We start from the raw sequence: 13,529 nt of genomic DNA on the forward strand, positions 1-13,529 counted from the left end.
AACGGCTAAATTATTTCCAATCTTTTCCCGGTTATAGACAGATCTGACCTTCACAGAATATCTGTTACTATCCCCTACCATTTACCCCGCTGTAAAACAAGTTCACTGACTCCTGGTCTCCACGGCAACTCCAGGAATTCCACATTGGCCTGTCTTGGGTCCTCAGCTATGGAGGCCGCCCCTGGCCAGCAGTCATTGAGTGGAAGTCAAGTTGAACACATGAGTTAAGGAATGAAAGAGTAGAACACATTTTTATGTGGGAAACGGCCTGTTTCCCTTGCACTGGAAGCAATAATATACTTCCAGAAGGTTCTGTCTGGCCCCAGGCAATGCTGCTGACCCCAGCAGGCGTAGGGCAGGGTGCTCCTCCACGTTGAGCCAAGATAAGCACAGAGCCTGACTTCTGAGCCTGCCAGGAAGGCCCGTCTGGCCCCCTCTGAGGGTCGGCTGTCCTCTGGCACCTCCCCACCCCTCCATGCTCCTCCCAGAGCTCCCAGCACAGAAGGTGCAGGGGCTGCCCAGGGAGTGTGTTTGGAAGACACCCGGCCAGGCAGCCAGAAGGAGGGAGCCCTGTCTGCTTCGGCACCTCCAGAGCCAACTCCGGTGCCTGGGCCAGTGCCAGGGTCACCATATGAGGCCAGCCCCAGGGTCACCATCTGAGGCCAGCCCCAGCCGTCCTCTCCTCACGGACTGTTGGCCCAGTTTCCACCATCTGCTGCCATCACGGCATGCACTTTCCCACTCCTGAAGTAAAGAGCTGGCACTGAACGCCCATCCCAAGTCTGCGGAGTGAAGGAATGTGGGGCCTCGGTGAACACAGGTCCACCCACTGAGGAGCCTCGCCTGGGAGCAGGTGGTCACACAAAGAGCCTGGGCTGGGCGCAGTGGCTCATGCTTTTAATCCCAGCACTTTGGGAGGCCGAGGCTGGCAGATCACCTGAGGTCAGGAGTTCGAGACCAGTCTGGCCGACATATAGTGAAACCCCGTCTGTACTAAAAAATGCAAAAATTAGCTGGGTGTGGTGGTGCATGCCTGTAGTCCCAGCTACTTGGGAAGCTGAGGCAGGAGAATCGCTTGAACCTGGGAGGCAGAGGTTGCAGTGAGCCAAGATCGCGCCATTGCACTCCAGCCATGGTGACAGAGTGAGACTCCATCTCTCAAAACAAAACAAAACAAACAAATAAACAAAAACCAAAAAAGCAAATCAGAGGCCGGCAGGGAGAGGGAGACCACCTGGATAGTGCCGGCAGTGTGCTCAGCACCCGGTAGCTACCCCGGGCACTGCACAGAGGCGAGACTTCACCAAAGAGGCCCCCGAGGACCCTAGGTTCACTGCCAAGGTGCCAGCCCAGCACAGGGACCATCTGTCTCCAGGCCCTGGCCATCCCTCACCACCAACCTGGCTTTGCTGCTGATAGGTGGGCCTGGGGCTCTGCTCTGCCAGCTGGGACTCAGGTTCAAAGCGGAAAATGACCGGCACTCCCAGGTTGCCTGTGCGGGCCTCGCATGTACTCAGCAAGTCTCTCAGTGACAGGGCCGACACTTGGTCTCCATCTGCCACCAGGAGCCTCGAGCTTTGGCCTGGGGCAGCGAATTCTGCCACACCCTTATTTATTTTTAAACCCCTCTTTGAACTGGACTTTCAGGAACATTCAGGACGGGACTTAGACATCTCTGTTGTTTAATTACTTGATTTTGTTTGATTTTATTCACAAAATAATTAGCCTACTAAGGATCTAATTATTGCTAAGGCATGCATTACGGAGATCAGCCCCAGGCAGCTGCGGGAGATGAGCAAACACGTTGCCTCTGGCCTCAGTCTCCGGCTGCAATAACATTTTGAAATCAGTTATTTTCTTTTAATAAAGCAGCCTCTGGTTCGCCCATGTCTGCAGTGGGCCAGGCATTGTTTGTGCTTTGCTACATTTTCAGGGCTCTGGTTTTCTTTGAAAGACGACAATGTTTCCAATTGAAAGTTGACTCAGAAAACAATGACTCCCAACTCAAGGTCAAAGCTCTTCTCTAATCCAAAGTAAACCGAGTAATTCTTTTATCTCAGGCTGGGGGAGATGAAGGCAGCATCATTCCCTTCCCATTTATTAAAGGTGCGGGATCCGTGTGTCGTGGCAGATACAAGGTCTCACGGAAGTCTAATTAGAGAGATGAACCGATAAATGGAATGGTTTATAATTTATCTAATCATGAAGGCAACTTTGCTCCGGGCGCAGTGTTCACAGGGAGAGATTTCTATCTAGAATGTGTCCGAGGATCCAGGAAACGAAGCCGCCCTTGGCACACTTTTCTTGGCGGATTGCTTCAGGAAGTTTCTGTGGCCAAGAGGGCCGGGCGGGCCTCAGTGAGACCATTCCTGCTTCCACCAAGGCCTGGAGGTGCACTCTGGGCAAATGACCTCCCCGGGCCCCATTTTCACACAAGAGGGGTTCTCCCAAAGCCCTTCATGCCAGCCCTGCTCGGCCTCTTTCCGGACACCCCCACTGTTGCCTGCTGACATCGGGGGGAAACCCTGGGCTCGGGCCCACATCTCCAGGGCAGGAGCAGCAAGGATAGGAGCCCATATCCTGGAAAAAGCCCTTGGTTAACAGAGTGCTGCTGTGGGCTCTGGGTCAAAGCACGGTCACCCTATTGAAATGGGGAAAGTCCCCTTGTCCCCTTCGCAGGACGTGTGATGGGGGAGTGGCTCGATTCTTCATGCCCTGCTGCTCAAACTTCTAGGGGAGCAGACAGACGAGCAGGCTATGGGGCTCCTGACTCCACTGCCGTGTCTAGGGGTGGATGTTTCCAGCTCCTGAAGCCCCAGTGCGCGTGTGTTCCAGGGTGCTCTGTTAGTTTTGCCGTCTATAGGCTTGTGTTAACCCCTCCACCATGTCACAAGGACAGAGGGCTTTCTGTATCCCCGGTTCTTGCCTTGGTGTACCGGAAGAATCGGATCACACCTAGGCTTGGAGAATGGGTGAAAGGTTTGATTGAGTGGAAGGAGCTCTCAACAGATGGGGGAGCCAGAAGGGGATGGAGCAGGAAGGTTTTCCCCTGGAGTCGGGCTGCTCAGCACCCCGGGCTCTCTTCTGACAGCCCTGGCCAAACTCTGCCTCATTCCGCCAGTTGGTGGCCTCCTGGTGCCTGTCGTGTTCCTCTTGATGTCTGGCCACCTGTGTGTCCACCTGCTAGGGTCTCAAGGTTTTTATAGGCACAGGATGGGGGCGTAGCAGGCCAGGGTGGTCTTGGGAAATGCAATATTTCGGCAGGAAAACAAAAATGTGTGTACTCATCTAGGTCCCTGGGCACAGGCCCTGGGGTGGAGCCCTAGCCAGGGACCACGCCCTTCCCCCTTCCATATTATTCAAAGGGACTGCGCCCTTCCCCCTTCCATATTATTCAAAGGGACCGCGCCCTTCCCCCTTCCATATTATTCAAAGGGACCGCGCCCTTCCCCCTTCCATATTATTTGAAGGGACCGCGCCGTTCCCTTCCCAGCACTTCTGTCTCACGATGTCCCCGGCTCACCCAGTCCCTCCTCCCAGCGACATCACGTCCACAGGCTCTGGGATGCATTTGTTTTTAATGAGGACGTGCTGTCCAGAGCTACAGGATCTTCAGAGAGAAAGCGCAAGGGCCTCAGAATTGTCCCAGTGTCATCCTGGAAGGAGACCCCTTGGGTCTCTGAGTCCCTGAGCCTGGACCCTGAATGTGTGCTCAGCTGTGCCCAGCTGCAGTGCTCTGGGACAGCCCTTTAGCTCCCCATGGGAAGTGCAGGCCCTGGGCCGGCCCAAGCCCCACCAGAGGAGGGTGTCGGGGCAGGGAGAGGTCAGTGTCTGCAAGGAGACCATGCCCCACCCCCATGCCCCACCCCCATGCCCCAGGCCTCCCTCCACCCCCTGGATAGCCTTGGTTGGGGTCCTGCCCCCAGCTGCCTTGGGACAACTAACTACAACTTGAGTTCCTGGATTTGGAGGCTGGCTTTGGGGGAGAGGGAACGTTCACTCTGTCCTGGAAGAGGATAAACAACCCCGGTCCCGTGCATGGTGAGCACAGCTGTGCACCTGTTGATGGTGGGAAGGTCTTTCCCCTTGAGAAGAAAAATTACTTTGATAGACCTATTTTTATAATCTGTCAATTGCATAAAATCCTTTGCATTTTGTGGGTAAAAAAGCCAGAGCTGCTGAAAAATCTATCAGGGGAGGAGGTCTGTGGAAGGAGGAGCTGTCGAGGGTCACCTTTCTGGAGCACTAGGGTGGGGGTCGCAGGGCAGCAGAGGGACACACTGACCACCGACCGGAATCCTTGGTGTCCACAGGCTCAAGGTGTAGCTCTCATTCAAGGCCCAGAGGCCTGAGAGGCAGCAACAGGTGCAATTTAGGAGCTGATTTGTGTGCGGGGTTCTGAGGGAGGCTGTCAGTGGGGTTAGAGGTAGTGACTTTTATCAGGATGGGAAAACACCGGCCCAGGGCTGCCCTGCGGACGTGTGTGTTGGGGCATGAACGAGTCCCCCTCCCTGTGCTGATGGACTCTGAGCCGTCCTCAGTGGGGTTGGCTTTATCCCTGAGCCTCACGGTGGTGTCAGGCATAGAGTGATGTTCGGTGGTGGACGTGCACAGCCACGCCGCTCCCTTCCCTGATGACACCCAGGCTGTTATGCACAAAAGCAGCACCCAGGGTGAGAGCACAGACCCCAAAGGCCCACTGCCCTGAGCAAGCTGAAACTCCCGGTGCCTCAATTTCCCCTATGTGATAATCCTGGAATCTGCTCCATGGTTTGGCCTTGAGGATTAAATGAGCCAGTGTCTGCTGCACTGGGAGAGGCTGAGAGGTGCCACTAAATGTGCCTGTGTCGATAGTAACACGCTTTGCATGGCCATTTGGGCTGCATGTGTACAGAGATGTATTGGTATTTATGTGCATATACGTAAAGATGTGGCAATTTCAGCATCAAAGAGAATAACTACAATTAATTAAAGCACATTAGATATGTTAAGAATGGGAGTTCATAATGGCCTTCCAAAAACATAGGTCAGTTTAAGAAAAACTAAAGAATCAACTGATTCTTCAGAAAACTAGTAAGAGGAAAGGATTACACAGGTATCAGCATTTCCTGTGCAGGACGCACCAGGGCACCCAGATGGCTGGTGGAGGGAATGTCTTCTTCATAGGATATGATAGCTAAGGAATCAAGAAAAGATGGCAGAACCAGAATGTCAGCATTTCCAATCCCTAATGAAAAAGCAAATGACTCAGGCTGTGACCAACAAGACCTAAGAGGGTGCTTTAGATAGAAGAATCTGGTGAGCCGCTGACCAATGTCTTTATTTATATTCCTTACATATGCATTATGAAATGTGCATATGCATATATAATAAGATAATAATATATAGTGTTAATATATTTATATATTCTATAAACTTGAAAATAATGCTAACTATTTATCTGAGTTTAAACCATTACTGGGTTGCCCTAACTCCCACTGCTTTACAGAAAGTTTTGAAATTGAGGTCACTGATGGGTCTTATCACTAAAGCATTCTGCCTTCCTGTCATGCTGTGGTTCAGGAGGAAAGCCCGGCCTAGGAAGCATTCTTGACCATAAAGCGGGACCCTCATCCACCCACCCCCTCGGACAGCAGGTCCCTGGGGACAGACGGGAACCCCAAGCCACAGATGTGGAGCAGGGACAGGGCTGGGCCCAGTACCAGTGCCTTTCGGGCCCCATGCTGGGCCTCTCTTTGGCTCCACTAATTGTCCTCTTTTTCTTCATGGCTAAAATGCATCAGCTGTGTATTGTTACCCAATTGTGTGGCCTCCTCTTAGGTCCCCTTCCTGGAAGCAAACCCTGAGGTTAGGAACGGGGGTGCAGCACCCTCACCCTTCTTCCTCACCCACACACATGCCCCTGGGACCACCCTCCCTTCACAGAGGACACCAGGCTCTGCATGTGGTTCTGGGCCTCGAGGTGTTCATGGAACAAAACCCAACAGATGTCCCTTCTAGGCAGGATGTGCAGCTCACACCCATTAAACAAGAGCTGCCTGACACGTCCCAGACAATACTGAGATTCTTACACCCAGCAGTTAAGGGAAAGCGGCCTTTTTTCAGAGTGAGCATGCACAAGTTACTGTTTAAAATTCACTTAAAATAGTTCCTCTGTATGAAGTTAAACTACCAGAATCAGGCATATTGTGATCCCTATGTTTCCTTTTGCTTCCCATGTTTAGTGTTTGTTACAATGTTGCACAGCACAAGCACGGGTCTCATACCCTCAGCACTTTGCACTGCAATGGCTGGCTCGCTGTTCACTACAACACGCATGTACCCTAGGTGCTTTAAAAAGGTACTGTAAATTGGCCGGGTGCAATGGCTCCCGCCTGTAATCCCAGCACTTTGGGGGGCCGAGGTGGGTGGATCACTTGAGGTCAGGAGTTCAAGACCAGCCTGGTAGACATAGCAAAACCCTGTCTCCACTAAAAATAAAATAAAATAAATTAAAATTATCTGGGTGTGCACCTGTAATCCCAGCTACTTGGAGGCTGAGGCATAAGACTCACTTGAATCCGTAAAGTGAAGGTTGCAGCGAGACTCCGGCGAGATTCCATCCCAAAAATATATATATATATATATATATAAAAAACTGTAAATTGACAAATAGTAGTTATCTGCATTTGTGGGTTATAAAATGATGTTATGATTTATGAATACAATGTGGAATAATTAAATCAAGCTAATTAACATAGCCATCACTTTAAATGCTTGTCATTGTTTTGTCATTTTTATCATTGCGAGGCTCTCTCTACTCCAACCTCCCTGCTCTGCCTGGCCAGGGGCACAGAACAGGCACATGCCTTGTGCACAGCGGCAGCCGTGAGGAACCTTCTCCTTCCCACTTGCCACTGCTAGCATGGAGCACAGGGCCCCCCACAGCCCGCTGCTCTCTGCCCCCTCTGCAGGGCCACCATGGAGGCGAGGTCTCTGTGAAGCTGGTCACTGCATTGCAGGTCCCCGGCAGCCACACAACGAACATCGGCTGGAGCCTGGACGTGAGAATGGCGGGGCCTCTCCTGCTAGAAATGGAAACTCTGTCCCCGTGGCTGCCAGTTGCCCTTCTCCTGCTGGGAGGACCTCCATGGCCTCTGCTGTCTGCATGGTGTGGCCTGAAGAGCCCTCCACCCCAGGAGTTGCCACTGGCCCTTCGGGAAGTGAGACTGGGACTGGGCACAGCGCTAGGTGATGAGGCAGGTCACGCTGGTGAGAAAGGGGTTTTGCTACTCTGGACTGTGCCCTGCGGTCAGCGGCAGAGCAAACGCATCTGCAGAGACCGGCTCAAATTCCTGGGGTCTCCGGAGAACTCCATCACTCAGTTGCCTCCGCCGGTAGCCCTGGGCTTGCCCACTAATCCACTGGCTGTAATCTCCACCCAGGGAAGGGAGTCCCTCTGCTCTGTGGACCCGTTTCCAGGGCAACCAGGAGTATGACCTCCCACAGCAGGGGACAGGTGCCGCCAGGCGTGCTGGCCTGACTGCCAGAGCACCGGGGAGAAGACCTGGGGTACACGCGGCGTCTTGGTCCTACTGGCTCTGGCCACCTGGTGACAGCCCCTGCCTGGGACTCGGTGTGTCCTCCTGTTGGTGGATGCAGTGGGGGCTCCAGTTCCTTGGATCCTTAGAGAATCGTCAACCCCTTGGGGAGGTTGGCTGGGCCCCGTCAGGGCAGCTGTGAGCAAGGAAGACTCACAGGGCATCCTGCCTCCGAGGTCCTTCCTCAGTGCCGCATGGTGGAAGCTGTGGCACCAACCAAATATTTCCTGCGGCCTGTGCTTGAAGAGACCTACACCAACTCCCTCCGAGTGACTGACACCTCCCCGGAGGCGCAAAATGGAGACATCCTCTTTTTTCTGTGTGTGCAAACAGAAAGAAGGCCGGGCGTGCAGACGACTCGGGAGAACAGATGCCCCGCTTGGCACCTCGCTTGGCAGCCTGTGTTCTCCCAGGCTCTGAGCCTGTCCAGGCTGTGGGGAGCGCAGAGAGTGGAAGCCAGGAGGGGCCTCCCAAAGACCTCACCCCTAGGGATTCTCTGTCTCTGCCAGCAGTGCCGTGCACAGGGTTGGCAGAACATTCAGGCCAGAGGAAGAGGCACCTGGGGTTGGCACCATGGGGTTGGCAGAACATTCAGGCCAGAGGAAGAGGCCCCGGCTCCCGACCCCCACGGCAGTGGCAGAGGCCCTGCCCTACTCCACACTCGTGCTGCACAGCTGAGAAGGGTTCAAACACGTTGACATGACCCAGCCTGGAGTGGGAAGGCTGTGCAGGTGCTCCTGGAATCCTTGCAGGGAGCCAGGATCTGCTGCTCTCGGCCAGGCCCTGGCTTTGCCGCTCTCTGTTCCTGTGTAACAGATCCAGCAAACCCTCCTGAGTGTGGCCTCTGGATGGGGCAAGGCATAGAGGGAAACACAGGGGAGGGCCTTGGCCTGGTTCCCCCCAGCCACAGCCTTGGTGTGGAGAAAGAGGAGGGGGAGGAGAGGAGCCCCTGAGGGCCAGAGCCTGCACCGGGCAGAGTGGCCACCATGGGCTCTGTTCTGGTAAGAGATCCACTGCAGGGTGGCCAGGGAAGAGCTGAGCTAGGTCCCAGGTGAAAGGTTCCTGGGGTGGCTGCAGTTGTGGCTGCCACAAGCCCTTGTTGGACTCTCCAAGAGGAAGAGAAGAGGACAGAAGTGCTCTCCTGGGCCGTGTCCACCTTTGGGTGCTTCTCTCACGGTTCCACCTGCAGGTCAGCCTCTCCTCATCAGTAGGTGATGGGACCCTCTAATGTTACTGATGAGTGGGGAGGCGGCCCCTGAGGACTGCTGTTTCCACAGGCTCACACACAGACCCCACTGCACCCCAAGCCCGGGCAGCCCTTGTTTCCTACCCTCCCCACCCGTCAGTGTGGAACGGCAGGTGAGGAGAGCCGGCTGTGAGGGCTGAAGCAGCCTCTGAATCACTGTGGAAGTCTCCAGGTGTGTGCAGCTCTCCTGCTCCGTGGGCGGGTGCTGCGGAGAAGTGTGAGGACAGGGTAGACAGGAGGGGAGAGGTTTGGAAGGAAAGGGGCCCGGCCGCCTGCCAGCTCTCCTGGTGAGTCTCTGCTGTGTAAGGATTTTATGCCCCCAGTTGTTAGGGGAGCACCCTCCAGCTCTACCTGTGGCCACAGCCCCCTCTGCCATGGGCTGGGTTTGCCATGTGCCATGTGCCATGTGCCAGAAGCAGAGGCAGCCGACCCGAGTGGAGCCCTCTCAAGGGACAGGAGGCAGCACCCAGGAGAGGACAGCAGGTGAGCAGCCTCCCAGAGCTCAGCTCAGGTTCTCACTGAAAATCCCACCAAATCCTTTTGCAGGAGCCTGGAGGCGATGTGCTGGTGGGAAGGGCTGTGGCGCCGGGAAACACGGGGTGGAAATGGAACCGGAACGAGCAAGGAGAGTCCAGGCACCACCTGGGCGACAGCCAGGGAGAGGAATCCTGGATCCCGGGTCTGAGCCGGAAGTTGCTCCTCTGCCTGATTCCAAATGAGCTCAAGGCTGGACCCAGCACCCCAGCTGGCATGTGTGAATCTCGGCTGGTCACCACCCGCAGGGCCGGCCTTAACTGATGAGCAGTGTCTGAGTGCATTTCCGAGTGTGGACCTGGATGTCCTTTGATTGTCTCCTCAAGTCCTAGTTAAAGAATCCCACTGGTGCTGGTCAGAGCCAGCTTCCTAGACACGTGGGTCCCGGCAGGCAGCCCTGTCGTGGGGCTCAGGTAGCCGGGTGGATCTTTCTGGCCAACAGATCACCTGCGTGGGGCCTGCATCTGTGGCCGGCCACACGCTCCAGGCTTCAATGCATGCAGGTAAATTTGGGAGTCTGTTCCTGCCCGTTAGTGATATCGGAGTTCAAATTACTTGAAATAGCACAATTGAAACAGACTCCCGGCGCATTGCTCTGGTGGGGCTCAGGAAGCTCGCAGGAAGCAGAAAGCGTGGCTGCACCGTCACCACGCCACCACGAATCTTGCCTCTTTATGCATGTGAACCAGGTAACGGGTTTCGTGACGTTTTCATACGCCCTGCGGGACCTGCGTTCTGCCCTGTGCTCAGACCGTGGGTCAGAGGCGCCTGCTGGGGCTTTTGCACCGGGACAGCTGGAAGGTGCCCTGGCCACGTCCACCGTGGTGTGCAGTTGCTCTGTGGTCAGGGCAGGGGACTTTCCACTTCTCCTTCCCCGCAAGGCAAGAGCAAAGGGGAGCCCGGGCAGAAGCGGTGCCCTCGGGTGCCCTGGGGTGGGCTCCATGCCAGCATCTCCTGGCCAGACCCTTGCGACCAGTTGGATCAGCCCCTGAGGTCCCATGGCTCTTGCCTGCAGTGCAGGCTCCTTCCGGTGGCCAAGGTGCTTTTCCAGGGAGAGCACCAGGGTGCATGCCCGTGGTGCAGCGTCGGAGCTGGTGGATGAGAGAAACCTGCTGTTATGGGCGGGGCCCCAGGTTGGGGCAGAGCAGGGATGTGTGGAGCCTACTCTGTGGCTGAGGCCCAGGCACTTTAGGAAACTTTCCACGGCGCCAGAGCACGAGCCCAGACCCCAAGGGGACCCACATGGAGCAGAGGAGCTGAAGCTCCTGCGTCCTGGGCTCAGGTGACCACCACATCCAGGTGTGCCTGCGGCCTTCCCAACATCCTGGGGACGCTTTAGTCCTGGCAAGCGGGGCGGTGAGTCACCCTGTGCAGGGTTCAGGGAGGCCCCAATCCCCAAGAGACCGCTCCCTCCCTGGCTGAGCCCTGGCTCTTCCACAGGGGAAGGCATTGGGTTGCACCTCGCTGGAATTCAGCCCTACTCAGCAGGAAGGAGGAGCTCAGGGGTTCCCCAGAGGTAGTGCCGGTGGGGTGCCTCCCTGCTGTTGCTGTGATGTGGGTGACAGACAAGCTGGGAGCTCAGCAGCCCACAGCAGAACACGTGCACCGCTGGGCAACTGGGGGGCAGCCCGGGAGTGGGGAGGGTTGGGCAGCCAATGGGGGCAGTGGGGTAAGCAAGGCTGCTCTTCGCATCCTGTCTGGGCCCGTCTCCCCCAAACCCTGAGGCCAGCTGGTTTCACCTCAGTGCTGAGTGTCTCTCATCCTCCAAGAGCCCAGGCCCAGGACAGGGCAAGAGGAAAATGATGGTCAGACACACGGTTGCAGTCCCCTCACCGTCTGATGGAGACACTCTGGAGTCACACGAAACAAGGGTCCCACGTTTGGCACAGGTGAGGGGTTGGAGCCACACAGGAAAAGGGGGCCTGCCTTTCTGAGGCCGGAACTGCAGAGCAGGACAGACCTCTTGGCAAAGATAAGCAACATCGTCACAAAGACACAGGCCAGCCCTTCCCCTGGGGGATGGATGTGTGGGGAGCCTGGTGGGGCTGAGGCGGGAACGCCCCCGGCTCCCATCCTTCTGGGATAAAGCTCCACCCTGGAAAACAGTGGAGCTCATCTTGGGGGGGGGGACCCATGGGATAAGGACACCTACCTGAGTGGGGCCACTGGAGGCAGGGCCATGGTGCGGGGGAGCTGGGAGGGGATACTTGGGTGGGGACACCTCTAGGGGATACCTGCCTGGGGTGGGTGGGACACCTGGGCAGGGACACCTGAGTGGGGATACCTGGGGCGGAACACCTTCGGGGGGGTACCTGGGGCAGGTGGGAATACCTGGGGAGGACACCTGAGGGGGGTGCCTGGGACGGGACACATGCAGGGACACCTGAGTGGAGCCCCTGGATGGGGTCAGCTGGGTGGGGTCCCTGGGGGGTCACCTGGGCGGGGCCCGCGACAGGGAAGTCTCTGGCAGGGGCTATGTTCCCCCACCCTGGCATTAGCGGCAGGTGCCCGCCCTCTTCCTCCTGACTGGAAAGGGTTCCCTTAATGCTACTTTCACTGTTATTTACATATGTTGTGAAGGATGAGGACTTGATCTGTGTTGCTAAGCGAGGATGGTGTTGCTCTGGCACAGAAGGAAGTCTTCAATAAAAGTGTGACCATAAAGGAAGCGAAGGTTCTTTCTCTAATGTATTCGGAATGCCTGCGCCTGGCACGCAGGCCCGCGGCACTCCTCAGCATCTCGCTGCCTGTCTAGCATCAGTACATGTGTGATATTGATTTTTTTTCCCCAGCAAGTGTAAGAAATACACATTTTATTTACCTTTTAAATTCCCAGCACCCATTGGCTGCTGGTTTACAGGCTGCAAAGTGCTCAGCAGTAGAAGGCTCAGGCAAGTCCAGGGGAGAAGCAACCCCAGATAGCGAGACTGCAGCTTCCCCGCTGCCCCTGCTTGAGCTGCGAACTGAAGACCAGCCAGGCAGCTGCTGCCCGCTCCCATCTGACTGAGGAGCCAACTGCAGCTCGGTTGGGGGTTCTCTGAGGGCAGCAAGGACTGGGGCAGCTCTTCTCCTGGGTGGTGATTTCTGGTGGTGGTTCTTGGGAAGCACACTGGATGCCCTGTATCTGTTTTCACAGCTAAGAAGACTCTCATGTCACTGAAGTTTCCTGGGAAGCCACCCCATGGGGCACATCCTCCTGACTGCAGGTTTGCCTCTTGCAGGAGCAGCTCAGCCTGCCTGAAGGGGAGGACTCTGTGAGGTCCACAGGGCACCTCATGCACCCACCTCATCTCCAGGGCAAATGTCTGCTGAGTGCCCCAGCAGTGGCGTGCTTCCACCCCCTAGAGGTCGACCTGGCTTGCCAGTGGCTTGCGGGGCTGGAGACAAGGGCAGATGGTTCTGGGCACCAGCCCAGACGTCTCCTGCACACAGACATGAGTTGCAGACATTTGGGTCTGAGCCCCCAGGCTCTATGGGCCCTGCCTGTGAATGTCAATCAAATGTCCTGCCTCAAAGCTCTCCCCATTTTGAGAGACATCAAACAATGTGAAATGTAACACGCAAACACTTCAAAACCAAATCAGAGTAAGACAGCACTGCTCTCATTCTCTGCACTGCTCTTTAGGCGACAGACACTCTGCCATCTGCCTCCCTCTCTCCTCCTCCCTTCCCCACTTCCCCAGGGCCTGGAAAGCCACCCTGTGCTGCTTGCTTCCACTCCTCGGCAGCCCTCACAGCCTGGTCTCTGCATCCACCTTGCCAGTAAAACTCTCCAGCCACTGGCCATCCTGGGCGACAGAGAGCCAAGCTCCGGGCCCCGTCTCCCATCCCCTGCATCCCCTGACCTCACTGGCTGCTGGACACCATCTCGTCGTCTCACTGCACTCTTGCCCCCTTGCTTCCTCAGGACTGCTCCTCCCTCCTCACTGCCCCTTCACTGTCCTGCCGGGTGTCTCCTCTTCCTCTGCCCTGGCACTCCAGTGGCCAATGTCCTGGAACAGTGGCCGCACATCTGCGCCTCCCCCATCCATCCAGGGCTCCCCTCGCCTCCTCTGCACTGTGTGTTTGGTGGAAGACACAGACCACAAAGGCAAGATGGCTCCGAGGGTGACGAGAGCATGCGTATTGACCACGGTCCTGCTGCAGCCACCAGTGCACACCCTCCTCTA

General features: G+C 56.2%; 4 annotated features.

Annotated features, from left to right (window-relative positions):
- Positions 997-1,888: an enhancer, noted in NCBI's record as "H3K4me1 hESC enhancer chr22:49411058-49411949 (GRCh37/hg19 assembly coordinates)". NCBI's record gives its function as "activates a minimal SCP1, AML or CMV promoter by ChIP-STARR-seq in primed H9 embryonic stem cells {active_cell/tissue: H9 hESC(primed)}" and the evidence as "EXISTENCE:reporter gene assay evidence [ECO:0000049][PMID:30033119]".
- Positions 4,542-5,041: an enhancer, noted in NCBI's record as "H3K4me1 hESC enhancer chr22:49414603-49415102 (GRCh37/hg19 assembly coordinates)". NCBI's record gives its function as "activates a minimal SCP1, AML or CMV promoter by ChIP-STARR-seq in primed H9 embryonic stem cells {active_cell/tissue: H9 hESC(primed)}" and the evidence as "EXISTENCE:reporter gene assay evidence [ECO:0000049][PMID:30033119]".
- Positions 6,559-7,059: an enhancer, noted in NCBI's record as "H3K4me1 hESC enhancer chr22:49416620-49417120 (GRCh37/hg19 assembly coordinates)". NCBI's record gives its function as "activates a minimal SCP1, AML or CMV promoter by ChIP-STARR-seq in primed H9 embryonic stem cells {active_cell/tissue: H9 hESC(primed)}" and the evidence as "EXISTENCE:reporter gene assay evidence [ECO:0000049][PMID:30033119]".
- Positions 7,060-7,560: an enhancer, noted in NCBI's record as "H3K4me1 hESC enhancer chr22:49417121-49417621 (GRCh37/hg19 assembly coordinates)". NCBI's record gives its function as "activates a minimal SCP1, AML or CMV promoter by ChIP-STARR-seq in naive and primed H9 embryonic stem cells {active_cell/tissue: H9 hESC(naive and primed)}" and the evidence as "EXISTENCE:reporter gene assay evidence [ECO:0000049][PMID:30033119]".

The sequence above is a fragment of the Homo sapiens genome, chromosome 22 (assembly GCF_000001405.40).
Source record: "Homo sapiens chromosome 22, GRCh38.p14 Primary Assembly".
NCBI classification, from domain to species: domain Eukaryota; kingdom Metazoa; phylum Chordata; class Mammalia; order Primates; family Hominidae; genus Homo; species Homo sapiens.